The sequence below is a fragment of the Homo sapiens genome, chromosome 17 (assembly GCF_000001405.40).
Source record: "Homo sapiens chromosome 17, GRCh38.p14 Primary Assembly".
NCBI lineage: Eukaryota > Metazoa > Chordata > Mammalia > Primates > Hominidae > Homo > Homo sapiens.
Genome location: NC_000017.11, coordinates 1568618 through 1593114, shown reverse-complemented (window position 1 = coordinate 1593114; position 24497 = coordinate 1568618). Strand labels below are relative to the sequence as shown.

At 56.4% G+C, this 24497-nt stretch overlaps 1 protein-coding gene across 8 annotated transcripts in view, besides 14 other annotated features; it reads left to right on the top strand.

Annotated features, from left to right (window-relative positions):
- SLC43A2 (solute carrier family 43 member 2) overlaps nt 1-23861 on the top strand; it is a 60835-nt gene extending 36974 nt beyond the window's left edge. For 3 of the 8 annotated variants that reach the window (NM_001321364.2, NM_001321365.2, NM_001284498.2), the window contains exons 7-15: nt 1416-1549; nt 1644-1846; nt 2167-2313; nt 6155-6166; nt 7064-7202; nt 9779-9911; nt 14792-14865; nt 16395-16518; nt 17350-23847. In NM_001321364.2, the coding sequence (NP_001308293.1) occupies nt 1416-1549; nt 1644-1846; nt 2167-2313; nt 6155-6166; nt 7064-7202; nt 9779-9911; nt 14792-14865; nt 16395-16518; nt 17350-17511 (1128 nt within the window). In that variant the 3' untranslated portion in view covers nt 17512-23847. Of the gene's footprint in view, nt 1-1415; nt 1550-1643; nt 1847-2166; nt 2314-6154; nt 6167-7063; nt 7203-9778; nt 9912-14791; nt 14866-16394; nt 16519-17349 lie in introns of those variants that run through there. The other 5 variants (XM_017024179.3, XM_047435331.1, NM_001284499.1 and 2 more) reach the window with 3 other exon arrangements.
- Nucleotides 1088-1253: a silencer, noted in NCBI's record as "fragment chr17:1495156-1495321 (GRCh37/hg19 assembly coordinates)". NCBI's record gives its function as "represses an EF-1alpha promoter that drives an FKBP-Casp9 reporter gene in an ReSE screen in HepG2 liver carcinoma cells {active_cell/tissue: HepG2}" and the evidence as "EXISTENCE:reporter gene assay evidence [ECO:0000049][PMID:32094911]".
- Nucleotides 2021-2566: an enhancer, noted in NCBI's record as "H3K27ac-H3K4me1 hESC enhancer chr17:1493843-1494388 (GRCh37/hg19 assembly coordinates)". NCBI's record gives its function as "activates a minimal SCP1, AML or CMV promoter by ChIP-STARR-seq in naive H9 embryonic stem cells {active_cell/tissue: H9 hESC(naive)}" and the evidence as "EXISTENCE:reporter gene assay evidence [ECO:0000049][PMID:30033119]".
- Nucleotides 2567-3112: an enhancer, noted in NCBI's record as "H3K27ac-H3K4me1 hESC enhancer chr17:1493297-1493842 (GRCh37/hg19 assembly coordinates)". NCBI's record gives its function as "activates a minimal SCP1, AML or CMV promoter by ChIP-STARR-seq in naive H9 embryonic stem cells {active_cell/tissue: H9 hESC(naive)}" and the evidence as "EXISTENCE:reporter gene assay evidence [ECO:0000049][PMID:30033119]".
- Nucleotides 4754-5300: an enhancer, noted in NCBI's record as "H3K27ac-H3K4me1 hESC enhancer chr17:1491109-1491655 (GRCh37/hg19 assembly coordinates)". NCBI's record gives its function as "activates a minimal SCP1, AML or CMV promoter by ChIP-STARR-seq in naive H9 embryonic stem cells {active_cell/tissue: H9 hESC(naive)}" and the evidence as "EXISTENCE:reporter gene assay evidence [ECO:0000049][PMID:30033119]".
- Nucleotides 5301-5847: an enhancer, noted in NCBI's record as "H3K27ac-H3K4me1 hESC enhancer chr17:1490562-1491108 (GRCh37/hg19 assembly coordinates)". NCBI's record gives its function as "activates a minimal SCP1, AML or CMV promoter by ChIP-STARR-seq in naive H9 embryonic stem cells {active_cell/tissue: H9 hESC(naive)}" and the evidence as "EXISTENCE:reporter gene assay evidence [ECO:0000049][PMID:30033119]".
- Nucleotides 5848-6393: an enhancer, noted in NCBI's record as "H3K27ac-H3K4me1 hESC enhancer chr17:1490016-1490561 (GRCh37/hg19 assembly coordinates)". NCBI's record gives its function as "activates a minimal SCP1, AML or CMV promoter by ChIP-STARR-seq in naive and primed H9 embryonic stem cells {active_cell/tissue: H9 hESC(naive and primed)}" and the evidence as "EXISTENCE:reporter gene assay evidence [ECO:0000049][PMID:30033119]".
- Nucleotides 6394-6940: an enhancer, noted in NCBI's record as "H3K27ac-H3K4me1 hESC enhancer chr17:1489469-1490015 (GRCh37/hg19 assembly coordinates)". NCBI's record gives its function as "activates a minimal SCP1, AML or CMV promoter by ChIP-STARR-seq in primed H9 embryonic stem cells {active_cell/tissue: H9 hESC(primed)}" and the evidence as "EXISTENCE:reporter gene assay evidence [ECO:0000049][PMID:30033119]".
- Nucleotides 6941-7486: an enhancer, noted in NCBI's record as "OCT4-NANOG-H3K27ac-H3K4me1 hESC enhancer chr17:1488923-1489468 (GRCh37/hg19 assembly coordinates)". NCBI's record gives its function as "activates a minimal SCP1, AML or CMV promoter by ChIP-STARR-seq in naive H9 embryonic stem cells {active_cell/tissue: H9 hESC(naive)}" and the evidence as "EXISTENCE:reporter gene assay evidence [ECO:0000049][PMID:30033119]".
- Nucleotides 7487-8034: an enhancer, noted in NCBI's record as "OCT4-NANOG-H3K27ac-H3K4me1 hESC enhancer chr17:1488375-1488922 (GRCh37/hg19 assembly coordinates)". NCBI's record gives its function as "activates a minimal SCP1, AML or CMV promoter by ChIP-STARR-seq in naive H9 embryonic stem cells {active_cell/tissue: H9 hESC(naive)}" and the evidence as "EXISTENCE:reporter gene assay evidence [ECO:0000049][PMID:30033119]".
- Nucleotides 14352-15162: an enhancer, noted in NCBI's record as "H3K4me1 hESC enhancer chr17:1481247-1482057 (GRCh37/hg19 assembly coordinates)". NCBI's record gives its function as "activates a minimal SCP1, AML or CMV promoter by ChIP-STARR-seq in naive and primed H9 embryonic stem cells {active_cell/tissue: H9 hESC(naive and primed)}" and the evidence as "EXISTENCE:reporter gene assay evidence [ECO:0000049][PMID:30033119]".
- Nucleotides 15163-15974: an enhancer, noted in NCBI's record as "H3K27ac-H3K4me1 hESC enhancer chr17:1480435-1481246 (GRCh37/hg19 assembly coordinates)". NCBI's record gives its function as "activates a minimal SCP1, AML or CMV promoter by ChIP-STARR-seq in naive H9 embryonic stem cells {active_cell/tissue: H9 hESC(naive)}" and the evidence as "EXISTENCE:reporter gene assay evidence [ECO:0000049][PMID:30033119]".
- Nucleotides 15975-16786: an enhancer, noted in NCBI's record as "H3K27ac-H3K4me1 hESC enhancer chr17:1479623-1480434 (GRCh37/hg19 assembly coordinates)". NCBI's record gives its function as "activates a minimal SCP1, AML or CMV promoter by ChIP-STARR-seq in naive H9 embryonic stem cells {active_cell/tissue: H9 hESC(naive)}" and the evidence as "EXISTENCE:reporter gene assay evidence [ECO:0000049][PMID:30033119]".
- Nucleotides 16787-17599: an enhancer, noted in NCBI's record as "H3K27ac-H3K4me1 hESC enhancer chr17:1478810-1479622 (GRCh37/hg19 assembly coordinates)". NCBI's record gives its function as "activates a minimal SCP1, AML or CMV promoter by ChIP-STARR-seq in naive H9 embryonic stem cells {active_cell/tissue: H9 hESC(naive)}" and the evidence as "EXISTENCE:reporter gene assay evidence [ECO:0000049][PMID:30033119]".
- Nucleotides 20855-21690: an enhancer, noted in NCBI's record as "H3K4me1 hESC enhancer chr17:1474719-1475554 (GRCh37/hg19 assembly coordinates)". NCBI's record gives its function as "activates a minimal SCP1, AML or CMV promoter by ChIP-STARR-seq in naive H9 embryonic stem cells {active_cell/tissue: H9 hESC(naive)}" and the evidence as "EXISTENCE:reporter gene assay evidence [ECO:0000049][PMID:30033119]".
- Nucleotides 23862-24497: the final 636 nt, after the last annotated feature.

Below are 24497 nucleotides of genomic sequence, written 5' to 3'. Positions count from 1 at the left end.
GGAGGCAATTGTGGGCACCCGGGGTGGCCCCTCTCCACCACCCCCACCCGGGCAGGATGCACCTGGGCATCACAGGGGCGACAAATGAAAACCGCGGGGCCTCAGGGGACGGGAATCACGCATGTGGCTGCAGGATCTGCCGCAGGTGCCTTTGCATTTCGGGGCTGGGGCAGGGGAAGGGCGGTGGGTGAGTCTGTTTCCAGTTGTGAGTCTTGCCCCCGTCTCCTCCGTCATCCTGGTCTCCCGCTGCTCCCCTGCTCCCCAACCCCCAGCCTGCTGTTATTGTACCGTTACTCCCCGCCAGCCAAAGCACTGCTCTTGGCCAAGTGTTTCAGCTGTTTCCCTCCTAGGCAGGATTTTGAGCCTGTGGAAGTCACACAGGGTCAGGACGAAGCAAACACCTCACAGTCCATCAGCCCAAGTTCCCCAGACCCTGTGGGTCTGCCAGGGCCCCGTAGGGGCTTCTCCCACCTCTGACCCTCACACTAAGTAAAAGCCCCTTTCCTCGGTGGTGTGTGTGGGAATGCTGTTGGCGAGGAGAGGGGGACACGGTGTGGGCTGGCCACCTGGGCATTGAAGTGGTGGGAGCTGGGACTCTGGGGCCAGCCATCCTATGGACTTGCAGAGATTCTCATGCCCCTGGACTGGGGAGCATCCCGAAAGTTCTTCCTCCTCCTTTTTTTGGGGGGGAACAGGGTCTTGCTCTGTCGCCCAGGTTGGAGTGCAGCAGCACGATCTCGGCTCACTGCAACCTCCACCTCCCAGGTTCAAGTGATTCTCCTGCCTCAGCCTCCCAAGGAGCTAGGATTACAGGTGCCCGCCACCATGCCCGGCTAATTTTTGTATTTTTAGTAGAGATGGGGTTTCACCATGTTGGTCAGGCTGGCCTGGAACTCCTGACCTCATGATCCGCCCACTTTGGCCTCCCAAAGTGCTGGGATTACAGGCGTGAGCCACCATGCCTGGCTTCCTTGAGCATTTCTTTGGCCTCTGCCATGTGAGCTCTCAGAGGCACTGGGGAAGCATCAGTGGACGGGGCTGGCCGGTTCCCGCCTTCAGGGAGCTCCGCTAATACCAGACAAGCCGACGGACCAGGAGCACCGTCCCCTCTGCTGGGCCGATCACTATGAGCCTGCAAGACGTGCCGTGGTCATGGCGGGGCGGTCAGGAAGGCCTCCGAGTCGGGGGGCTAATCACACGCCAGGCCCAGATGACCAGCAGGGCAGGCACGGTGGGAGGACTGGAAGGCGGGTGCCTGATGCCCCAACGCCCAGGCTGGCAGGGCTGTGCCTCTTTGCGCGGCTCAGCACAGGGACAGCAGGGGTGGCCAGACGCCCCTGCCTGCTGCGGCTCTGGCCTCCCCGGGCTAACTCTGCCCCCTCCCCCCCCCACCCCGTCCCCGCGGTGCCTGTCAGCTCATCTATGATGCTGGTGTCTCCTTCATCGTCGTCCTCGTGGTCTGGGCCGGCTGCTCCGGGCTGGTTTTCCTCAACTGCTTCTTTAACTGGCCCCTTGAGCCCTTCCCGGGGCCGGAGGACATGGACTACTCGTAAGTAGAGGTGCCCCCGTCCCGCCTGCCCCCAGCCCCCGCCCCCCAGCCGGGGTCCCGGGCAGCACCCACAGACACTCTCCCGGGGCCCCAGGGTGAAGATCAAGTTCAGCTGGCTGGGCTTTGACCACAAGATCACAGGGAAGCAGTTCTACAAGCAGGTGACCACGGTGGGCCGGCGCCTGAGTGTGGGCAGCTCCATGAGGAGTGCCAAGGAGCAGGTGGCGCTGCAGGAGGGCCACAAGCTGTGCCTGTCCACCGTCGACCTGGAGGTGAAGTGCCAGCCGGATGCCGCAGGTACCCGCCTGAGACCGCAGCCGGGCGACGGGCAGGGAGTGCTCTGTGGGTATCGGCTCACCCCATTCCCACCTCACCCCAAAAGGGGAGGCGGCCCCGCCCGCCCTGTTCTGCAGAGGCGCTCAGGAAGGCCTGGGGGAGGGAAAGGGATTTGCCTGATTTCACCCAAGAGGTGACCCCACCGCAGCGCCAACCCCGTTACCCTCACCAGGCCCGTCCCGAGGGCCCCCTCCTGGCCTCCAGCGTGGAGGGATCTGCGTGTCCCCCCGGTGGTGGGGACAGTGTGCCCCGGCCCTGAGCCCCGCACCCTCTCCCTGCAGTGGCCCCCTCCTTCATGCACAGCGTGTTCAGCCCCATCCTGCTGCTCAGCCTGGTCACCATGTGCGTCACGCAGCTGCGGCTCATCTTCTACATGGGGGCTATGAACAACATCCTCAAGTTCCTGGTCAGCGGCGACCAGAAGACAGGTAGGTGCCCCGGGCAGCCTCGGTCGCTGTCACTCCCCGGCCTGAGCCCAGCCCACTGGCCACCGGCCAGAATGTGTTAAGCTGAGCCGGGCCAGCCGGGCCATGGAAAGGCCGCATCCCAGGAGCTGTCTGCCCGTCAGAGCTATTGCATCACTGCCAGCCCCAACTGTTTCTTCGTGTCCCCATCAGGGTTTCCTGGTCCAGGAGGGAGGGAAGGACCAAAATAGCCTCCTGGGTGTGGGGTGTGGGGTGTGTGTTTTCCAGTGCCTGAGGGGGAGGGTTGCCGTGTGTGTCTGTAAATGAAAACAGAACAGAACGCTCCACCTGAGCATGGCTGAAAGACAGCAGGTCAAGCCCAAAGTCCTCCCAGAAAGTGGCACGGTGGGTGCGTGGACACCCTGGGCATCGAGGTCAGGACGGGGCTGGAGACGCTGGGGCAACTGGCCCACACTGGGATCTGCATCCCTCACCGAGAAACAGGGCAGGGCAGAGACTTCCTCGGAGCTTGCGAACAGTTGAGGCTTGTCAGCTCCAACAAACACAGCTGATAACCCACAGTCCACTTTTCCAAACAGGGCAGGTCTTCAGCTGATTAGAGGTTTTGATTCTACAGAGAAAGTCAGGACTTCCCCGGGGCCTGAGCTGAGTCAGCCTTAGTCATCCCCAGGCGGGACAAACACTCCAAATCCTTTTTATTGGCAGCCTCCCTGGTGTGCCACTTTTTCCGATGGTTTCCTTGTTTTTATCAAGGTGAAGATACCCTAGGACTTGTGAAGAATCAGTTATCAGGTTTTTAGGGGATGAGAAATCCAGCTTTATCAAAAGGAAAAGATAGCAAAGGGAACCAGATAACAGCCAGTTCTACTGTGAAAATGGTAGTCTAGGCCAGGCACGGTGGCTCACGCCTGTAATCCTAGCCCTTTTGGAGGCTGAGGCAGGTGGATCATGAGGTCAGGAGTTCAAGACCAGCCTGGCCAAGATTGTGAAACCCCCATCTCTACTAAAAATACAAAAAATTAGCCAGGCGTGGTGGTGGGCCCCTGTAATCCCTGCTACTTGGAAGGCTGAAGCAGAGAATTGCTTGAACCCAGGAGGTGGAGGTTGCAGTGAGCCGAGATTGCGCCACTGCACTCCAGCCTGGGCGACAGAGTGCGACTCCATCTCAAAAGAAAAAAAAATATCTGTGGAACACACTTTGGGGAACCCTAATCTATCATGTCTCTTTCTTTCTTGTTTTTTTGAGGCAGGGTCTCTTTCTGCGTTGCTTAGGCTGGAGTGCAGTGATGTGAACGCTGCAGCCTTGACCTCTTAGGGCTCCCCAGGTGCGCGCCACCACACCCAGCTAATTTTTAAATTCTTTGCAGAGATAGGGTCTTGCTGTGTTGCCCAGGTTGGTGTCGAACTCCTGGGCTCAAGGGATCCTCCCCTCTTGGCCTCCCAAAGTGCTGGGATTACAGGCGTAAACCTCCACACCCAGCCTGATAAACATTCAGCCCTGGAGTGGCGGAAACCCCAAAGTGTGCAGAGAGAGCTGGTCCCTGGCCCTCGAAAGGCTCATCTCCCTGCTGCTGAGTCAGCGTCTTTTACTCAAGCTGTCTGAGAAATCTTTTGCTGCCCAGGAGGAATGTTTCCAACTGTTTCGTATGTTCAAAAAGTCAATTTCAAGAAGTAGAGGAAGCCAGGCCAGGAAGGTTGGTCTGTGGCAGACGAGGCACTGGTTTTCCCCCTCCTCCTTCTGTGACCCGTTACACCCAACACCCATAGCCCTAGCTCCGGCCGAGAGGCAGCTGCAGGGTCCGGGTCACTTTCCGCACACTCGTGAGCTTTGCGGCTCCGCAGGAGGGGGTGTGCCGTGCTGCTGAGGAACGGCTCAAAGCACCAGAGCCATCGCCTCCGCGTACGGCCCCGCGACCACCCGCGGCAGAGGCTCCCGGGTGCTGGTTCCGAATGGAGACTCCAGGCCTTGCCGCTGACCGGTGACTCTGCTGCCTCCCAGCGTTTGAGACCCGCCATCAAACAGGAGTTGCGGATTCAGGGAAACCCTAACTAGCCAGGGTGCTGGCAGCTGGGAAAAGGCCGCCTTTTTTTTTTTTTTTTTTTTTTTGAGTTGGGGTCTTGCTCTGCCACCCAGGCTGGAGTGCAGTGGTGCAACTGATAGCTCACCACGGCCTCCGACTCCTGAGCTCAAGGGATCCTCCCACCTCGGCCTCCTAAGTATCTGGGACTACAGGTGTGTGCCACCATGCCTGGCTAATTTGTTTTTTTTTTTTTTCCATAAAGACAAGGTCTTGCTATTTTTCCCAGGCTGGTCTCAAACTCCTGGGCTCAAGCAGTTCTCCCACCTCAGCCTCCCAAAGTGCTGAGATTATAGGCATGAGCCACAATGCCCAGCCAAAAATACAGTCTTTTTTTTTTGACATGGATTTTCGCTCTTGTCACCCGGGCTGGAGCACAGTGGCATGAGCTCGGCTCACTGCAACCTCCGCCTCTCGGGTTCAAGCGATTGTTCTGCCTCAGCCTCCCAAGTAGCTGGGGTTACAGGCACCTGCCACCATGCCCAGCTAATTTTTGTATTTTTAGTAGAGACGGAGTTTCACCATGTCTCCAACTCCTGACTTCAAGTGATCCACGTGCCTCAGCCTCCCAAAGTGCTGAGATTACAGGCGTGAGCCACGATGCCCAGCCAAAAAGCCAGTCTTGAGATGGGGAAGACGTGGCCCATGCTGTCCTCAGCAGTGCCCAGTCCCAGCCAAAGTGGGCACTGCTGCCTCACTCTCCCACCCACCCTCAGGGTGTGGCACTTACTGGGAAGAAGCAGGCATTGAGAAACAGAATTAAGGGGGGAAAACAGTCCAGGGCCAACAGTGCTTGGGGATTGAGGCCTGAAAATGGGAGCAGGGTACAGAGGCTGTGGCTGGCCAGATGGGTCGGGTGCCCCCTGCACCCCCACCCCCTAGTCAGGGGCCACCTGTCCTACCCTCCCTTTGTAAGAGTTGACAGGTGACATGTTTTCCTATTGTTGTCCTTGACTTGATAACAATCTAGGAGTTAAATAGATACTATCATCTGTTTACGTCATCATTTATGATAGATACTATCATCATATACACCTGAAAAACGAGGCCTGGAGTGATGGAGGAGCTTGTTCAAGGTCAGAGCCAGCACTCACATATGGGTCTTAAGACACTGGAGCAGCCAAGGGCCTCTAGACCAGGACATTCCACTCGGAGCAGCAGCTCAGGGGCCACCAGGCCTCTGTGGCAGGGGGGCCATGGCCCAAGGAAGGGGAGCAGGCCCAGGCATGGTCCCCGTTTCTTGGAGTGGAAGGGAGACCAGCTCTGGCCATCTGGAGGAGACCCATGGTGTCAGATGCCTTGGCTGGGCATCAGGGGCAGGTTCTTTGACCTTTCCCTCTCTCTGAGCACAGCAGGAGGTAGATGTGACAGAGCCGCTTCCCGCAGGCAGTGTGGTGACAGGGACCCTGATTGCACCAGGTCTTCCGCATGCCCGCCACTTCCCCATCACGCTACCCGCCAACGTCACAGGCCTGATTCACCAGTCCGCCTGTGACCCGGCACCAGCAGACAGGAGAATGTCAGCAGGGGCCCGGGCTGGGCATTGTCCCAAGTCCACTTCCAGAGGCCTGGCTGCAGCTCTGCCTCCCCTGAGCGCCCCGAGTCACGCTTAGTGGGAAATGCAGTGCGGGAAACGCAGTGTGGGAAATGCAGTGCGTGCTGGGCATGGAGTGAGCCTGCCTCCTCTCCCATCTCTCTGTAGCACTGAGATTTCTGCCACTAACCTCTCTTCTTTCTGCTTTTTCACTTTTGCTTTCTTGATGCAGTGATGGCCACGGGTAAGCGGGGGGTGGGGGGGATTGTCAGGGAATGCTGTGATGTCCCCTCCCAGCCAGTCTCTGTTCAACCCAGAAGCTCCTCACCTCAAGCTCCAGACATGCCTCCTGGCTAGAGCCGTGGGGGTAAAACTGGGGCAATCAACATTCCTCGTCTGCTTCCCTGGAAAATCCACTGTCATTTTAAGTCTTTGAATATGGAAGCCCTGACATCAGAGCCCCGTGAGCGGTGCCTTTCTGGGATATTTCTTTTTTTTTTGAGATGGAGTCTTGCTCTGTTGCCCAGGGTGGAGTGCAGAGGCATGATCTTGGCTCACTGCAACCTTCACCTCCCGGGTTCAAGTGATTCTCCTTGTAGCCTCCTGAGTAGCTGGGGTTACAGGTGCCTGCCACCACGCCCAGCTAGTTTTTGTATTTTTAGTAGAGACGGGGTTTCACTGTGTTGGTCAGTCTGGTCTCGAACTCCTGACCTCGTGATCCGCCCACCTCGGGCTCCCAAAGTGCTGGGATTACAGGCATGAGCCACCGCGCCCAGCCGTTCTGGGCTATTTCTAGAGACAGAAACTAACGGCCCGTCACTTAGCCTCCGTCACAGGAGTTCCCAAGTTATAGCGACTTCCTGGAGCTCTGGGAAGGCCATTGTGACACTCTGGGTTTCATTAGCTGTTTCTTAGAAACAAGCAGGGGATTTGGAACCGAGAAGAAGGTGACCTGCCCCGTGCTCCATCCTCAACTTCAGAGTTAAGGTCTCCGGGCTCCTCGCAAGACCCATAGTGACAGGGGGTTCTGGGGCAGACCCCAGAAGAGCCTGTGGGGACCAGCCCCTTCCCAGCTGGTGCCCAGTCCCTGCTCCAGGGCTGTCTGCCAGGCGTCCCCATGACGCAGCGCCTTCCTCCACAGTTGGCCTCTACACCTCCATCTTCGGCGTGCTCCAGCTGCTGTGCCTGCTGACGGCCCCCGTCATTGGCTACATCATGGACTGGAGGCTGAAGGAGTGTGAAGACGCCTCCGAGGAGCCCGAGGAGAAAGACGCCAACCAGTGCGTAGGCAGGGCCGGTGCCCCGGCTCCCAGCCCGCAGCCCCTGCAGAAAGACCCCAGAGCTGCATGTCAGGCACAGGGTGGGTGGGACAGAGGGAGAGAGCAATGCACTCCAGCTGCTCCCGGAGCCCTTAGAGAGACTCACTCATTCAGCTCAGCATGCGTTTCAACTGCTCCCCTCTTTATGGAAATTGTTTGGAATGCAATGGAAATGCTAAAGTTTGAGGCCAGGTGCGGTGACTCATGCCTGTAATCCCAGCACTTTGAAAGGCTGGGGTAGGAAGATCACTTGAGGCCAGGAGTTGGAGACCAGCCTGGGAAACATGGCCAGCCCCCACTCCCCGTCTCTACAAAAAATTTAAAAATTGGCCAGGGAGGGTGGTTCATGCCTATAATACCAACACTTTGGAAGGTTGAGGTGAGTGAATTGCTTGAGCCCAGGAGTTAGTGACCAGCCTGGCCAATGTGGTAAAACCCGGTCTCTACTAAAAATACAAAAAATTAGCCAGGTGCGGTGGCGGCGCGCGCCTGTAATCCCAGCTACTCAGGAGGCTGAGGCGCGAGAATTGCTTGAACCCGGGAGGTGGAGGTTGCAGTGAGCCGAGATCACGCCATTGCACTTCCAGCCTGGGCAACAGAGCAAGACTGTCTCAAAAAGAAAAAACAATAAAGAAGAAGCATTGAGTAAGAAGGAAGAAAAAGAGACACAGGTGAAAGTGTACAGACAATGGCTAGCAGACCATTTTGCTCCTAAGACCACCCTCCCTCCACCCCTTGGCAGTGGCTACACCATCTTAAAGCCTCCCAAAGTACTGGGATTAACAGGTATGAGGCACCGCGCCCGGCTCAGATGGTGACTTTCATTCATTGCATTCAATCATGCAGCCCACCAACCCTTTGTTATCTGCCTGCAAGGTTTATTCCGGTCAGTTTGAGTAGTGAGTTGCTATAAACATATTATGTGTTAATAGAGTTGTTCATGATTGTGAAGATTAAACAAGGTACTGGAGTCCTACTTTATGTAAGGGATGGGCTCCAAGATCAGAGGATGAGTTAAACGCTGTTTTCTTTTTTCTTTTTCTTTTTTTTTTTTGAGACGGAGTCTCGCTCTGTCGCCCAGGCTGGAGTGCAGTGGCTCTATCTCGGCTCACTGCAACCTCCGCCTCCCGGGTTCACACCATTCTCCTGCCTCAGGCTTCCAAGTATCTGGGACTACAGGCGCCCGCCACCACGCCCGGCTAATTTTTTTAATATATATTTTTAGTAGAGACAGGGGTTTCACAGTGTTAGACAAGATGGTCTTGATCTCCTGATCTTGTGATCCGCTTGCCTCGGCCTCCCAGAGTGCTGGGATTACAGGCATAAGCCACCACGCCCAGCCAAACGCTGTTTTCCATGGCTCCACACCTTAATATAATAAGCTACGGTTTATTGCCTGAGGCCCTCCACCGAGGACTCCATGCACAGTATCTCAGTGAAGACTCCCAGCACCCTGGCGAAGTGGGGACCAGTGTTATACCCATTTTACAGATGAGGGAGCTGAGGCTGGGACTTGCAGTAGTTTGCCTAGGGCCGCACAGTTAGGAAGTGGTGGGCCTGGGACTCCCTGCACATCTGTGAGCACCTGGGGTCCGTTCTTGGATCATCCAGGGTGTCTGCGTGGGTGTGAGACTGGGATCGGTAATCGTTCATTCACGAGAGATAATTGCAGAGGGTGCTTGGCCGGGCGCGGTGGCTCACACCTGTAATCCCAGCACTTTGGGAGGCCAAGGCGGGTGGATCACAAGGTCAGAAGATCGAGACCATCCTGGCTAACATGGTGAAACCCTGTCTCTACAAAAACGCAAAAATTAGCCGGGTAAGGTGGCGCGTGCCTGTAGTCCCAGCTACTCGGGAGGCTGAGGCAGGAGAATCGCTTGAACCCAGGAGGCAGAGGTGGCAATGAGCCGAGATCACACCACTGCACTCCAGCCCGGGTGACAGAGCGAGACTCCATCTCAAAAAAAAACCCAAAGAACAAAAAAACAAAACAAAACAAAACAAAAAACAGTGCTGTGCTATCTAGGTCAGGTCCTGCAGCCAAGAGGTTATTTGTGTCCACTCCAGTTCCATCTGCTGCCTGCTCATTTCCCCTTTACCCTCTCCTGTCCCCACAAGGGGAAACCCATTCACTCCCCTATTTGGCTTGTATCTGGCTTCTTATCAGCGTCCTGCAAGATTTGGGTGAACTTGAAGCCAGTGGTGAAGTGAGGCTTTGCCATGTGCCAGCTCAGGCACACGCTGCTACTTCTCTCCCCGTCGTCTTAGCTCAGCCTTCACAGAGCACTGCAGCATATGGATGGCCATCTTCTTGTACCCGAGACCCCCTCCGAGAGTCACACTCAGCTTGCCACTGAGAAGGGCCGGGGAGTGTCCGTAGTGCTGGTCCAGCCCCGACACAGTCCCTAAAACGTGCCTGGGTGGCTTCTGAGTCTTGCGTCAGTTTACCTGCTGCGACGCTTGAGGCCTGACTTCTCAGGAGCACCCGGCTTCCTCCGGGGAGCCCTCCCACCCCTGCACGTTCTGTGTCTCCACAGAGGCGAGAAGAAAAAGAAGAAGCGGGACCGGCAGATCCAGAAGATCACTAATGCCATGCGGGCCTTCGCCTTCACCAACCTGCTGCTCGTGGGCTTTGGGGTGACCTGCCTCATTCCCAACCTGCCTCTCCAGGTGGGTGTGGGGAGTGGGAGGGGCAGGTGGGAGGTGGGGCAGTCAGAAGGAACATGTAAAGACTCAAAAGTGTGTAATGTTTCATGGAAGCCATCAACAAAGCGGATGACTTTCTTTATTTTTTTGAGACAGAGTCAAACTCTGTTGCTCAGGCTGGAGTGCAGTGGTGTGATCTCGGCTCACTGCAACCTCAGCCTCCTGGGTTCAAGCGATTCTCCTGCCTCAGCCTCCCGAGTAGCTGGGATTACAGGTGCGCACCATCACGCCCAGCTAATTTTTGTATTTTCAGTAGAGATGGGGTTTTGCCATGTTGGCCAGGCTAGTCTCGAACTCCTGACCTCAGGCGATCCACCCGCCTTGGCCTCCCAAAGTGCTGGGATTTTACAGGTGTGAGGCACCGTGCCCAGCTCAGATGATGACTTTCATTCATTCCACTCAACCGAGCAGCCCACCAGCCCTTTGTTATTTGCGGAGGGCCTGTTCCCTGCCAGGCTCTGTGCTTGCTGCTGCAGGTGAGCTGGACACCTGGATTGTCTTCTGCAAAGGGACTCCTCCCCGGAAGGCATGTCTTGGTTTTGGGGGCGTCTTGCATAACCGTGGATACCACCATCATGCCATTTCCCGGAAGTGTGTGGGGTCGCTGTAGAGTTCCTTGTTTTGTATCGGCTCAAGCAGCTGGAATCTGACGTCCAAAGAGATCTGGCCAATCTGTGGTGTTGGTGGGAGCATCTGCTCCCCTGTCACCAGAGTCTCACGGGGTTTCTACACTGAACAGAGTGGAGGAAGACCTTGATGGTGGCTTCATATCTGGATTCAAAAGCTTCATTCCAGGCCGGTGGCTCATGCCTGTAATCTCAACACTTTGGTAGGTGGAGGCAGGTGGATTGCTTGAGCTCAGGAGTTTGAGACCAGCCTGGGCGACTTGGTGAAACCCTGTCTCTACAGAAAATATAAAAGTTAGCTGGGCATGGTGGCACACTCCTGTAATCCCAGCTACTCGGGAGGCTGAGGCAGGAGAATCATTTGAACCTGGGAGGCGGAGGTTGCAGTGAACTGAGATCGCGCCACTGCACTCCAGCCTGGATGACAGAGTGAGACTCTGTCTCAGAAAAAAAAACCAAAAAAAACCAAAACACTTTGGGAGGCTGAGGCAGGTGGATCACGAGGTCAGGAGTTTGAGACTAGCCTATCCAAAATGGTGAAACCCCGTCTCTACTAAAATTACAAAAATTAGCTGGGCGTGGTGGCACATGCCTGTAATCCCAGCTACTCAGGAGGGCTGAGGCAGGAGAATTGCTTGAATCCGGGTGGCAGAGGTTGCAGTGAGCCGAGATTGCGCCACTGCACTCCAGCCTGGGCGACAGAGTGAGGCTGTGTCTCAAAAAAAAAAAAAAAAACTGAATTTCTTTGCCAAACTTTTGAGGCTTCTGGAACCTGATTTTTGACAGAGATTTTGAGTAAGGTGGCCCTTGTCACCTGCCTGGCTCCACCCACTGGTCTGTGAAAGTGGTCTAGCAGTAGGTTTTGGCCCAATCCCTAAATTTACAAATGGTGGAGGGACGCAAGTGTGGCTTTTCCTTCCAGAGAGGTGTAGCCTGAGTCCAGATGGCATCTTGGGTCAAGTCCAGGAGGGAAGTAAGAGTCCCTCCCTTTTTACAGGAGGCCTTGAGGTACGTTGAACACCCAGGTGTGCCCCACCGTGGGAACTGTTGTGTGTACGTGCCAACACTGGGCGTGCAGAGCGCAGCGGGCCGTGGAACATTTGTGCCGGCCCCAGGGGGTGCTGCATCCCTCCGGCCCTCCCTGGCCTCCTGGGCTGCTTTCTCTGCAAGACTGGCAGACCTTTGCCCTAACCGCCTTGTCCAGTCGAGGGGCAGTGCTCAGTGGGGACAGTCATCTTTTTGTTTTATGTAGGTCTCACTGAAAGAAAAGTTGTAAAAAGGCAACAAGGCATTTGAGGTGGGGAGGCCTGCACAGCGTGCGTGTGTGTGTGTGTGTGTGGGCACTGGGCACAGCCCTCTTTCAACACTGCCAAGAGCAGCCCCTGCCCCCCCACCACCCACATTCCTGGGAACAGGTCCTGGCTGCTGAGCGGGATGGCAGGGCTGTGTACAGAAGACAAGGCGACCACAGGGACCTGGTGGCCAAGAGGATGGCTCTTAAAAAGTGCCTCTCGGAGTTGGCGGAGTCCGCCAGCAGCAGCCTTCCTGGGCAGGGGGCCTCCCACAGACAGCGACAGAACTTTACTAGGACCAGCCTGGGCAATATGGCGACACCCTGTCTCTACTAAAAATAAAAATTAGCCAGGTGTTGTGGAGTGCACCTGTAGTCCCAGCTACTCAGGAGGCTGAGGTGGGAGAATCTCGGCTCACTGCACCCCGGGAAGTTGAGGCTGCAGTGAACTGAGATTGCACCAGTGCACTCCAGCCTGGGCAACCGGAGTGAGACCTTGTCTCAAAAAAAAAAAAAAAAAAATTAGCCGGGCCTGGTGGCACATGCCTGTAATCCCAGCTACTCAGGAGGCTGAGGGAGAACAATCGCTTGAACCCAGGAGACAGAGGTTGCAGTGAGCCGAGACCACACCACTGCACTCCAGCCTGGGGTGTAGAGCGAGACCGTCCCAAAACAAAACCAAACAAAACAGAACAAACCACAAAAAGAAAACAAAACAAAAAGCGAAGAAACACTTCACGAGGGAGGTGAGAGGGCAGCCACCTGCTGGGAGGGCCGGGTGACCAGGCTTGGGAGACCCTGGAGCACAGTCCGAGGTGGGCAAAGGCAGCTCGAGGCCGTGGTCAGCAACCTCTTGCTCAGTGCTGTGCCCATACACGTCTGTCAGCAGGGCCCTGGTTCTAGTGTTTGCCGACTTCCACGGTGCACATGCACTCACCGTGGCTGATTTCCAGCTGCCCATGTGTTGCCACTGACTGTGGAACTGGAGAGTCACAGTGACACGTGGTATTTCTACAGTAGATGTGAAAAGCCTGGCCGGGCACGGTGGCTCACGCCTGTAATCCCAGCACTTTGGGAGGCCAACGCGGGTGGATCACCTGAGGTCAGGAGTTCGAGACCAGCCTAGTGAAACCCCGTCTCTACAAAAAATACAAAAATTAGCCGGGCTTGGTGGCATGCACCTGTAATCCCAGCTACTAGGGAGGCTGAGGCAGGAGAATTGCTTGAATCCAGGAGGCGGAGCTTGCAGTGAGCCGTGCCACTGCATTCCAGCCTGGGCTACACAGCAAGACTCTGTCTCCAAAAAAAAAAAAAGGAAAGCCTGATGCGTGCACAGGCTCTAGTGAACCAAGTAAAATAATTAGGAAGGGATGAGGTTTTCCATGGTTTTGTTCGTTCATTTTGTTTTTTTTTGAGACAGGGTCTCACTCCCATCAGCCAGGCTCGAGTGCAGTGGTGGGATCTTGGCTCACTGCAGCCTTGACTTCCCGAGCTCAGGTGATCCTCCCACCTCAGCCTCCTGAGTAGCTGGGACTACGGGCACGTACCACCAAGCCCAGTTAATTTTTATATTTTTTTGCAGAGATGGGGTCTTGACATGTTGCCCAGGCTGGTCTGGAACTCCTGGGCTCAAGTGATCCTCCCAGGCCTCCCAGAGTGTGGGGATTACAGGTGTGAGCCACTGCACCAGGCCAGGAAGTGATGAGTTTTCAGAGTTTTGAGTATTCATTACCTTTACTTTAATATAATTTATTTATTTAGTCATAAATTTATGTAATTTTTTTTTTTTTGAGACAGAGTCTAGCTCTGTCACCCAGGCTGGAGTGCAGTGGTGCTATCTCGGCTCACCGCAACCTCCGCCTCCCCGGTTCAAGCGATTCTCCTGCCTCACCCTCCTGAGTAGCTGGGAATACAGGCGCCCGCCACCACACCCGGCTAATTTTTGTATTTTTAGTAAAGATGGGGTTTCACTGTGTTGGCCAGGCTGATCTCAAACTCCTGACCTCATATGATCCACCCACCTCAGCCTCCCAAAGTGCTGGGACTACAGGTGTGAGCCACCATTCTCGGCTTATAATTTAATTATTATTATTATTATTATTTTTTTTTTTTGAGACAGAGTCTCACTTTGTCACCAGGCTGGAGTGCAATGCCGTGATCTCAGCTCACTGCAACCTCCACCTCTTGGTTCAAGCGATTCTCCTGCCTCAACTTCCCAAGCAGCTGAGATTACAGGTGCCCACCACCACGCCCAGCTAATTTTTTGTATTTTTAGTAAAGACAGGGTTTCGCCATGTTGGCCAGGCTGGTTTCGAACTCCTGACCTCAGGTGATCCACCTCCTCGGCCTCCCAAAGCACTGGGATTACGGGCGTGAGCCACCTTGCCCAGCCTATAATTTAATTTTTAATAATGACTCGGTTAGGCTGGGCGCAGTGGCTCATGCCTGTAATCCCATCATTTTGGGAGGCTGAGGCGGGTGGATCACAACGTCATGAGTTTGAGACCAGCCGGGCCAACATGGTGAAACCCCATCTCTGCTTAAAAAATACAAAAATTAGCCGGGCATGGTGGCGTGGGCCTGTAATCCTAGCTACTCCGAAGGCTGAGGCAGGAGAATTGCTTGAATCCAGGAGGCGAAGCTTGCAGTGAGCCAAGATCACGCCACTGCACTCCAGCCTGGGCGACAAAGCAAGACTTCTTCTCAAACAAAACAAAAAACAAAACAAACAAACAAACAAAAAATGACTGTGTTAACGACTGGCTTGCAAAATTTCTGAAAATTCACAATTGGCTCCGGAGGATGGGGTTGATCCAACTCCAGGCTGACACTGCCCCTGGGGTGAGGGCCCCCAGGAATTGGAGGGCGGGGGCTGAGGGGACGGTCCCTTAAGGCCTTATGCCCACAGTCGCCTTTTCCTCCCCCAGATCCTCTCCTTCATCCTGCACACAATCGTGCGAGGATTCATCCACTCCGCTGTCGGGGGCCTGTACGCTGCCGTGTAAGTCCTGGAAGCCGCAGGTGGCCTGGTGGGCGAGGGTGTGGGAATGGCCGGGGGGAGGTTGCTGGTGGGACTGAGACTCTGAGGCAGGGTCAGCCTGTCCCAGAAGGGCTCATCTTCCTGCTTCAGGGGACAGGTACCAGGGTTTCTGCTGGGTGTTTCAGGGAAAGGCCATACCTCGTGGGAAGCAGGTCAGTGGGCAGACAGTTGGGTGCTCACAAGCCTTGGCATTCAACACGAAGTCAGTTCCCCCAGCCAGGGTCAGGCACCTGTGCAGCTCATTATGGCCTCAGGGGCCACTACAGCCGAGTCCTGGGGCTGGCCCTGGCTGCTCACTGGGAAGGATGGGTAGGTTCTGGCTGCCTGAAGCTAAATGCGGAAGTTCCAGTTGCCCTCATCACGGGCAGCAACATGGGTGACTGAGTCCAGAATACACCAGACGGGCCCATCCAGAGCCTCAGTGCGCCCAGCTCTGGCCATAGCTTTCTCCAGCCCTGGCTAAAATGAAACCTGTATCTTTTTCCAAGAAGCCCCAGAAACATAAAAGGAACCACAGTGGTTCCTTCTTCTCTGGCTCAGGCCTTGACCCAAAAACTGAAACTCAAACATCATCATCCACAGTCTCTGATGTGGGACCAGCTCATGTGTTGCTGGGATTCCTTTCCCACCTCTGGGCCAGCAGAGCCTGACATGTGCTAAGATTTAGCCCGGAACTCTCTCCCAATTCCCGCAACAGCCCCTGGGGTAATCCCAGCTCCGCTTGCCCTCCGCCTGCCCCTCCCCAGGCCTGGAGGAAGCTGTGGCTGTCCTGGCAGGGTCTGAGGGAGGGGGGCGGGATCTGTGGTGCTGAGTTTCCGCGATTACTCAATGCTTCTCTGGACGAGGGCACTGCAGAGCCAAGCCCAGCCTCCACACTCCTCTCTGGGCCTGTTTCCCAAACCGCAGGTCCCCGCTGGCACCACGCTTTCCACTCGGCTCAGCCAGACACCCACAGGCCCTGGGCACAGCTGAGTGGGGTGGGCCCTCCCCAGAGTCTGGGGCCTGGAGCTGGTCCAAAGAGAAACACTTTGCAGAACCACCCAGCAGGGCCGGGCGCGGTGGCTCACGCCTGTAATCCCAGAACTTTGGGAGGCCGAGGCAGGCAGATCACAAGGTCAGGAGTTTGAGACCAGCCTGGCCAACGTAGTGAAACCCCGTCTCTACTAAAAATACAAAAAATTAGCCAGATGTGGTGGCGGGCGCCTGTAATCCCAGCTACTAGGGAGGCTGAGGCAGGAGAATTGTTTGGACTGGGGAGGCGGAGGTTGCAGTGAGCCGAGATCGTGTCATTGCACTCCAGCCCAGGCGACAGTGCAAGACTCCATCTTAAAAAAAAAAAAAAAAAAACAGAACTGCCCAGCAGGAAGGAATCCGAGGGCTGGCACCCCACCCTTCTCTGGCACCAACGGTGCAGCCCGGGGTCACCAGACACCTGGGGCCAAGCAAAGCCCAGGAGGCAGGATGGCTGTGAGCTGTCGCTTGCCCTGCAGGTACCCCTCCACCCAGTTCGGCAGCCTCACGGGACTGCAGTCTCTGATCAGCGCGCTCTTCGCCCTTCTGCAGCAGCCGCTGTTTCTGGCCATGATGGGTCCTCTCCAGGGAGACCCTCTGTGGGTAAGAGGGGTCGGGGGATGGTGGGTCATGGGCGCCTGCCCCCTTCTGCTAACTGCGAGCTGCAAGGTCCCCCTCGGGGGCTTCAGGGCCCCGAGGACATGTGGGAGCGTTGGTTAGGATTGGTTAAGAGTCCCTTTGTGAATGGTGGCTAGGCAGGAAAAGGAACATGTCCTCTCTGGACCTGATTTGGGGAGAAATAGAACAGAGTTCCTGGGCCGGGCGCGGTGGCTCACACCTGTAATCCCAGCACTTTGAGAGGCCGAGGCGGGAGCATCACTTGAGGTCAGGAGTTCAAGACCAGCCTGGCCAACATGGTGAAACCAGGTCTCTACTAAAAATACAAAAATTAGCCAGGTGTGGTGGCAGGTGCCTGTAATCCCAGATACTCGGGAGGCTGAGACAGGAGAATCACTTGAACCCGGGAGGCGGAGATTGCAGTGAGCTGAGATTGCGCCACTGCACTCCAGCCTGAATGACGACAGCGCGAGACTTCGTCTCAAAAAAAAAAAAAAAAAAAAAAAAAGAACACAGTTCCTGTCCCCGCCCCACCTCCGAGGGCCAGATTTCCTCACCAGGTACCAGGAACTTGTTCCAAGCCCAGAGGTTCAGATCAGCCCGTGTTTCCTGGGGGCCCAGGCCCTGAGGGTGGCCACATGGCCTGTGAAGAGTTGGGAACCGGGACGCTGGCATATGGGACCTCGTGGGCCTTCCTGTTTCGTTCCCCCTTCCACCCCGTGACCTTCTCCCCTTTCCCAAACCCGAGTGGAGGGCGGGTCTGCAGCCTCGGCGCACCACCACGCCCTGTGATGCGCGGCCTCCCTGCCTCCCCAGGTGAACGTGGGGCTGCTCCTTCTCAGCCTGCTGGGCTTCTGCCTCCCGCTCTACCTGATCTGCTACCGGCGCCAGCTGGAGCGGCAGCTGCAGCAGAGGCAGGAGGATGACAAACTCTTCCTCAAAATCAACGGCTCGTCCAACCAGGAGGCCTTCGTGTAGTGGCTGCCGCCTCGGAACTGCGGTCTCCTGCCTGTGCTTCAGTGACTGACCCCTGTCCTGCCCCTCCAGAGTACCCCACGCACCCCCAGGACCTTCGCCGTCTCCGTGCCAGCGTTCACGCTCCCTCCCGGGGCCCTGCCTCGGAGCTCTGTGGTGGAAGGACGGGAGAGGGCCCCGGACACGCGCGTTTTCTCCTGCCGAACGCAGGGGCTGCCCTGACTTTGCTCTGCCGCCCCCCGGGGACCCGGGGCCTGGGGTCTCTGTGGTGCCTGCAGCAGGAGCCAGGAACGCCCGGCAGGCAGGCGCTCTCCCGCCAGTGTCTGGATTCTGCCTCTTGCCAAAGCAGAGGGGGCTGCCATCCCCTGCCTGCCACCTGCCCCTCGGCTGCATGCCCACAGCCGTACCTGCCTGAGGACAAAGGCTTGCACTGTCTCGCCCGCGCCTGGCCCCCACCCCCTCCCCGGCCAGCCTGAGGCTGCCTGAGGAAGGAAGGACCCGCTTCCTGTTGTCGGTGCTAATTCCTTTGTAATTCCAGCCCCCTGTCGCCTGTCCAGGGCCTGCCCACCCGTTGGAGGCCGGTGGAGAAGCCCCACCTGGCTTATGCCCTGGAGAGGGTTTAGCGGGCTGGGTGGACCCCTCGCCTCCTCCCCGAGGGCCAATGCCGCGGACACGTTTTCACTGTCACCCTCGTTCTGTCTGCCACCTGAAGGGAATTTGAGGACCGCCGCCAGGGCACCCCGTACATACACACAGCTGCTTTTGTGGAGGTGGACGAAAGGCTGTGGCCGGCAGACGTGGAGGTCCAGGCCGGGGTGGGGACGTGGGTGGGTCCGAGGTGTGTGTGGGGTCGGGGTGGGCTCTAGGAGTTAGCCCTTATCCCCACTGACCAGGCGGGAGCCGCCAGGCCTGCAGCTGGGCCAGTGCCCAGGAGCCATCCTGGCGTGGGGCCAGGAGCTTGTCCAAGGCCACAGGCCCACAGCACCCCCTGCCGGCGGGCTCCGTGGGGCCCTGGAGCTGATGACGGGGGAGGCCCGTCCGCCTGGCCCACCAACCCGCCCACCTTGACTGCCCCCAGAAGTGTGTCTTGAGACCTCCTGGGCGTGCTTAGAGGGGTGAGTTGTGTTTGGATTTTTAGTTATTTTCTCTTCAGTTTTATTAGACTTCTTTTTTATAAAGCAATAAATCCATTTTCCTCCGGGTAAGGGATGCCCCTTCTGGCATATCAGTTAATAGCTGCATGTGCCTATTTTGAGCTTGAGAAGAAAAGGCAGGACAAGATTCTCTGCCACCGACCAGCTCCAGCCGTGCCCAGCTGCTCTTCGTCTCTCTGGGGGACTGCTGACTCGGGAGGGACAGTGGGCCAGGAAAAGACCTTCCTCCCCAACCCCCAAACAAACTGGGCTTGTGCAGACATCTTAGAAGTGTGAGCCACCCTCCTCTACCGATTTTCCCAGCCAAACAGGCGAATCCTGGTCCCTTTCCATCCCTACACCCTTCCACAACCCTGAAGATTCCCGCTGGGTTCTTCTGCAGGCTCAGAGCAGTTCAGGATGTGGGCGGCAGGGAGGGGGATGAAAGGAGAAGAGGAAAGGGCAGGTCCAGGCCACATTCAAGCTCCACATTAACAGCTTGGGCGCCTGGAACACATATCTCCTAGGCTTTATTTCACTCAAATATTTAAAAAAAGACTGGGCGTGGTGGCTCACGCCTATAATCCCAGCACTTTGGGAGGCCAAGGCAGGAGGCTCACCTGAGGTCAGGAGTTCGAGACCATCCTGACCAACATGGAGAAACCCCGTCTGTACTAAAAATAAACATTAATCGGGCGTGGTGGCGTGCGCCTGTAATCCCAACTACTCGGGAGCCTGAGGCAGGAGAATCGCTTGAACCGGGGAGACGGAGATTGCCGTGAGTCGAGATCGCACCATTGCACTCCAGCCTGGGCAACAGAGCGAGGCTCCGTCTCAAAAAGAAAAAAAAAAAGAGAACGAGATAAACATGCCCACTCCTGAGAACACTCGTTTTGTGATGTTAGTGGTTATTCTGATTTTCAAGAAAGTATTATAGTCAAGTTTGGGAAAGGCTGAGTTAAAAGTCAAGCCTGTTTCCTTACAGCCAGCACTGACAGCACTTTGCCAACGCTCATGAGCTCCGTGGCTCCTCAGGAGCGGGTGTGCTGTGCTGCCGAGGAACGGCTCGAACCATCAGAGCCACCAGCCTCCACGTGCGGCTCCATGATCACCCCCAGCAGAGGCTCCCGGGTGCTGGTTCCAAATGGAGACTCCAGGTCTTGCCGCTGACCGGTGACTCTGCTGCCAGCATTTGAGACCCGCCATCACACAGGAGTTGCAGATTCGGAGAAACCCTAACTAGCCAGGGTGCTGCCAGCTGGGAAAAGGCCGCCTTTTTTTTTTTTTTTTTTTTTTTGAGTTGGGGTCTTGCTCTGCCATCCAGGCTGGAGTGCAGTGGTGCAACTGATAGCTCACCACGGCCTCCAACTCATGGGCTCAAGGGATCCTCCCACCTCGGCCTCCTAAGTATCTGGGACTATAAGTGTGTGCCACCATGCCTGGCTAATTTTTTTTTTCTTTTTCATAAAGATGAATTCTTGCTATTTTGCCCAGGCTGGTCTGGAACTCCTGGGCTGAAGCAATTCTCCCACCTCAGCCTCCCAAAGTGCTGAGATTACAGGCGTGAGTCACAATGCCTAGCCAAAAAGCCAGTCTTGAGATGGGGAAGACGTGGCCCGTGCTGTCCCCAGCAGTGCCCAGTCCCAGCCAAAGTGGGCAGTGCTGCCTCACTCTCCCACCCACCCTCAGGGTGTGGCACTTACTGGGAAGAAGCAGGCATTGAGAAACAGAATTGAGGGGGGGAAACAGTCCAGGGCCAACAGTGCTTGGGGATTGAGGCCTGAAAATGCGAGCAGGGTACAGAGGCTGTGGCTGGCCAGATGGGTCGGGTGCCCCCTGCACTCCCACCCCCTAGTCAGGGGTCACCCATCCTACTTTGCCTTGTGTGGAGCTGACAGGTGACATGTTTTCCTATTGTTGTCCTTGACTTGATAACAATCTGGGAGTTAAACACATATGATCATCCCTGCTTTACAACTGAAAAACGAGGCCTAGAGATACTATCATCATATACACCTGAAAAACGAGGCCTGGAGCGATGGAGGAGCTTGTTCAAGGTCAGAGCCAGCACTCATATATGGGTCTTAAGACACTGGAGCAGCCAAGGGCCTCTAGACCAGGACATTCCACTCGGAGCAGCAGCTCAGGGGCCACCAGGCCTCTGTGGCAGGGGGACCTCTGTGGCAGGGGGGACCTCTGTGGCGGGGGGGGGGCCTCTGTGGCAGGGGGGTCACAGCCCAAGGAAGGGGAGCAGGCCCAGGCATGGTTTCCGTTTCTGGGAGCCAAGAGCCTTCTCAGAAGAGGGGGAGAGAGCTACTGCATGGAATCATTTGGGCCCTGGAGGCTGATGGGTACTTGGGGGAGCAATCCCTGGTGACCCCAACCAGCAAGACAAGTGCCCTGTGAAGGGGAAGGGACTACAGCTGATCAAAGGAGCAGGCACCAGTGGCCGGGCCTCCCGTCTGCCCCTCATCCTCCAGGCTCTGGCGGGAAGGAGCAGGAAGGGCTCCCTGCCCTTGGGGTTTTGATCAGTGAGGAGGGGGGCTTGGGTCTGAGTCTGGGTCTGGGTCTGCTGCCGAAACACTGCCCCCAGTCCCTCTCCTCACTAGACTCTGGGGTCTAGGCGTGTCTTTGTGGTCGGCCTTCTCCAAACCCTCTAGGCCTCTGTCTGCAGCTGCTGCTGCCTGGACCTATACACAAGGTCCCACCCCTCACCGGGGCCAAAGACGTGGTTGCAGGCCCTGGTGGATCCTTTCTGTTTTGCTCCATCCCCGTCCCCTCTTGCACCCAGCATCGTCCTGGTCAGAACTTCCGTTTAAACCTTCCTTGCCTGCCGTGCACTCCGAGGGGGGCGTCACTTTGCCATAGGCCCCAGGGCTGAAAATGGCGGGACATCCAGTATTGGGCTCACGTGCATAAGACTGTCCCAGACAGCAGCACAATCACGTTCAGCCAAGTGGAGTTTCCGACGCACTTGTGTGGCAGCCGCGTGAATGTGAGCCGATATGCAGCTGGGAGGGGTTGTGGGCCTCCTGCGGTGAGGGGCTCCTGCCAGGAGCTCTGAGAAGCCTCCACAGAATCAGCCGTCGGGCTCCTTCAGCAGCAGCTCCCCTTATCTGTGCCAACGACTGGGGGCCTAACTCAAGGGTGCCAGCCCGTCTTCCGCCAATACAGACTGTGGGATTCTGAGAGTTAGGAGCCTGGGGTCCCCTGGGGTGGGGTGGTCAGGGTGAGCAGGTGGGCTCTGTGAGCCTGTTTCCCCATGCCCTGACTCACCCCAATCCCTGGGTGAGGACAGAGCTCCTGAAGGCCACTGAAGGAGGTGCAGCACACTCCACCTGGGTGGCCTTCCGCAGCTCAGCCCTCTTCCTGCCAGCAGGAAGCCTCTGCCTGTGCTCCTTAAGTTAGCCATCCTCACCCCCTCCGGGCAGCTCTGAGACTGAGCCAGGGCCACTAGCAGCACCCAGACCTCGACCCTTCTCAGACCGAGGCGCCACCACCCCAGGCCGAGGAGGCAAGGAGGGAAGACCAAAGTCTAGAGGACTGTCTTGGTGGCCCTGGGCGAGTCTTGAACTTTGGTGCCATCATCTGCAAAAGGGAGGAAAGAATGCCTGCGTGGTGCAGCTACGTGGATACGCAGTGAAGACCCGCATGGTGGGACGCCTGGCACTTAACAATGGTAGCATTTGGCCGGGCGCGGTGGCTCACGCCTGTAATCCCAGCACTTTGGGAGGCCGAGGCGGGCGGATCACGAGGTCAGGAGATCAAGACCATCCCGGCTAAAACGGTGAAACCCCGTCTCTACTAAAAATACAAAAAATTAGCCGGGCGTAGTGGCGGGCGCCTGTAGTCCCAGCTACTTGGGAGGCTGAGGCAGGAGAATGGTGTGAACCCGGGAGGCGGAGCTTGCAGTGAGCCGAGATCCCGCCACTGCACTCCAGCCTGGGCGACAGAGCGAGACTCCGTCTCAAAAAAAAAAAAAAAAACAATGGTAGCATCGTTTTCAGTGCCCAGGAAGAAGGCAGCTGGGACAGGGAAAGGGCCACCACACCACACCCAAGCCCATACAACAGGAGAGCCACTTTCAGCAGCTCTGAGCAGGACAGACTTGTGGCCAAGTCAAGAAAGTAAGGTCTGGTCCCAGCGAGGTGGCTCATCCCTGTAATCCCAGTGCTTTGGGAGGCCGAAGCGGGGGCGGGGTGGATCACTTGAGGTCAGGGGTTTGAGACCAGCCTGACCAACATGGTGAAACCTCAACTCTACTAAAAATACAAAAATTAGGGCCGGGCGCAGTGGCTCACGCCTGTAATCCCAGCACTTTGGGAGGCTGAGGCGGGCGGATCACAAGGTCAGGAGATCGAGACCAACGTGGCTAACACAGTGAAACCCCATCTCTACTAAAAATACGAAAAAAAAAAATTAGCTGGGCGTGGTGGTGGGTACCTGTAGTCCCAGCTACTTGGGAGGCTGAGGCAGGAGAATGGCATGAACCCGGGAGGTGAAGCTTGCAGTGAGCCGAGATTGTGCCACTGCACTCCAGCCTGGGCGACAGAGCAAGACTCCGTCTCAAAAAAAAAAAAAAAAAAAAAAAAAGTAAGGTCTGTATCTGCTGACCCCACCCTTCTCCGAAGCCCTCTCCGAGCAAAGCCTTAAGAAACTCTTCTCTCGTTCACTTTTCTTTTGTGGCTTTCACGTTTTGGTAAGACTTGGCCAAATAGCTGCTCGAGATAATCAATCACTGGTGGACAAGTTTCTGCTGAGTGAGGTTTCTGCTGAGTGGGGCGACTCAAGGCACGGTCACGTAGGCAGCACCTGTACACCGCATCCTCATACAGCTGCGGGACCGTGCCTCTGACTGTGTGCGTGTGTGTTTATCTAAGTGTGAGATGCATCCGGGCATGTCAGGGTGTGTACATGTTGGGAAGACTGTGTAGATTTCTTGTGTGCCGCTCTCTGAATGGAGGAGAGGGGAAGCGTCTTACCTCGCTGAATCCCTTTCCATTGCTGGAAAGAACACCTGGGCAGGAGCGGCCCCAAGACCCCGCCCAGGCCCTCGGAAGGGAGCCTGAAGGGTTAATCCGTACCCTGTATTAACCAGGGTCAACCCAGCGGCTGACCCGCCTCTTCCCTGCTCCTTTGCCGTTTCTAGCACCTGGCTTACTTCCTGGCACACAGTGAGCACTCAATAAATGTATGCTGAGAATGACTGCGAGCGGCTTCCTCCTTGGCTCCTGTGTCTCTTTCTCCCTAGATCACACATTTCTCGCCTCTTGTCTGGTGCCCAGGTTCCCTGTCCCTTGACTGGGATGCGTTCCTGACCCCCACCCCTGCCAGGCTGCATTTGCTGGTTGATCTGCATTGCCATTTGAAGGAGTGTGGGAGGGCAGAGCAACAGGCCTTTTGGGTGGGAAGACCAAGGCTGCTGGTGAATTCTGCTTATAAAGGAAGCCCCCTCGGATCACCTGAAGTCAGGAGTTCGAGACTAGCCTGACCAACATGGTGAAACCCTGTCTCTTCTAAAAATACAAAAAGTAGCCAGGCGTGGTGGCGAGCATTTCCAGCACTTTGGGAGGCCGAGGCGGGCAGATCACGAGGTCAGGAGATCGAGACCATCCTGGCTAACATGGTGAAACCCTGTCTCTACTAAAACTACAAAAAATGTCCAGGTGCGGTGGCTCACGCCTGTAATCCCAGCACTTTGGAAGGCCGAGGCGGGCAGATCACGAGCTCAGGAGATCAAGACAATCCTGGCTAACACGGTGAAACCCCGTCTCTACTAAAAATACAAAAAAGTAGCCGGGCGTGGTGACGGGTGCCTGTACTCCCAGCTACTCGGGAGGCTGAGGCAGGAGAATG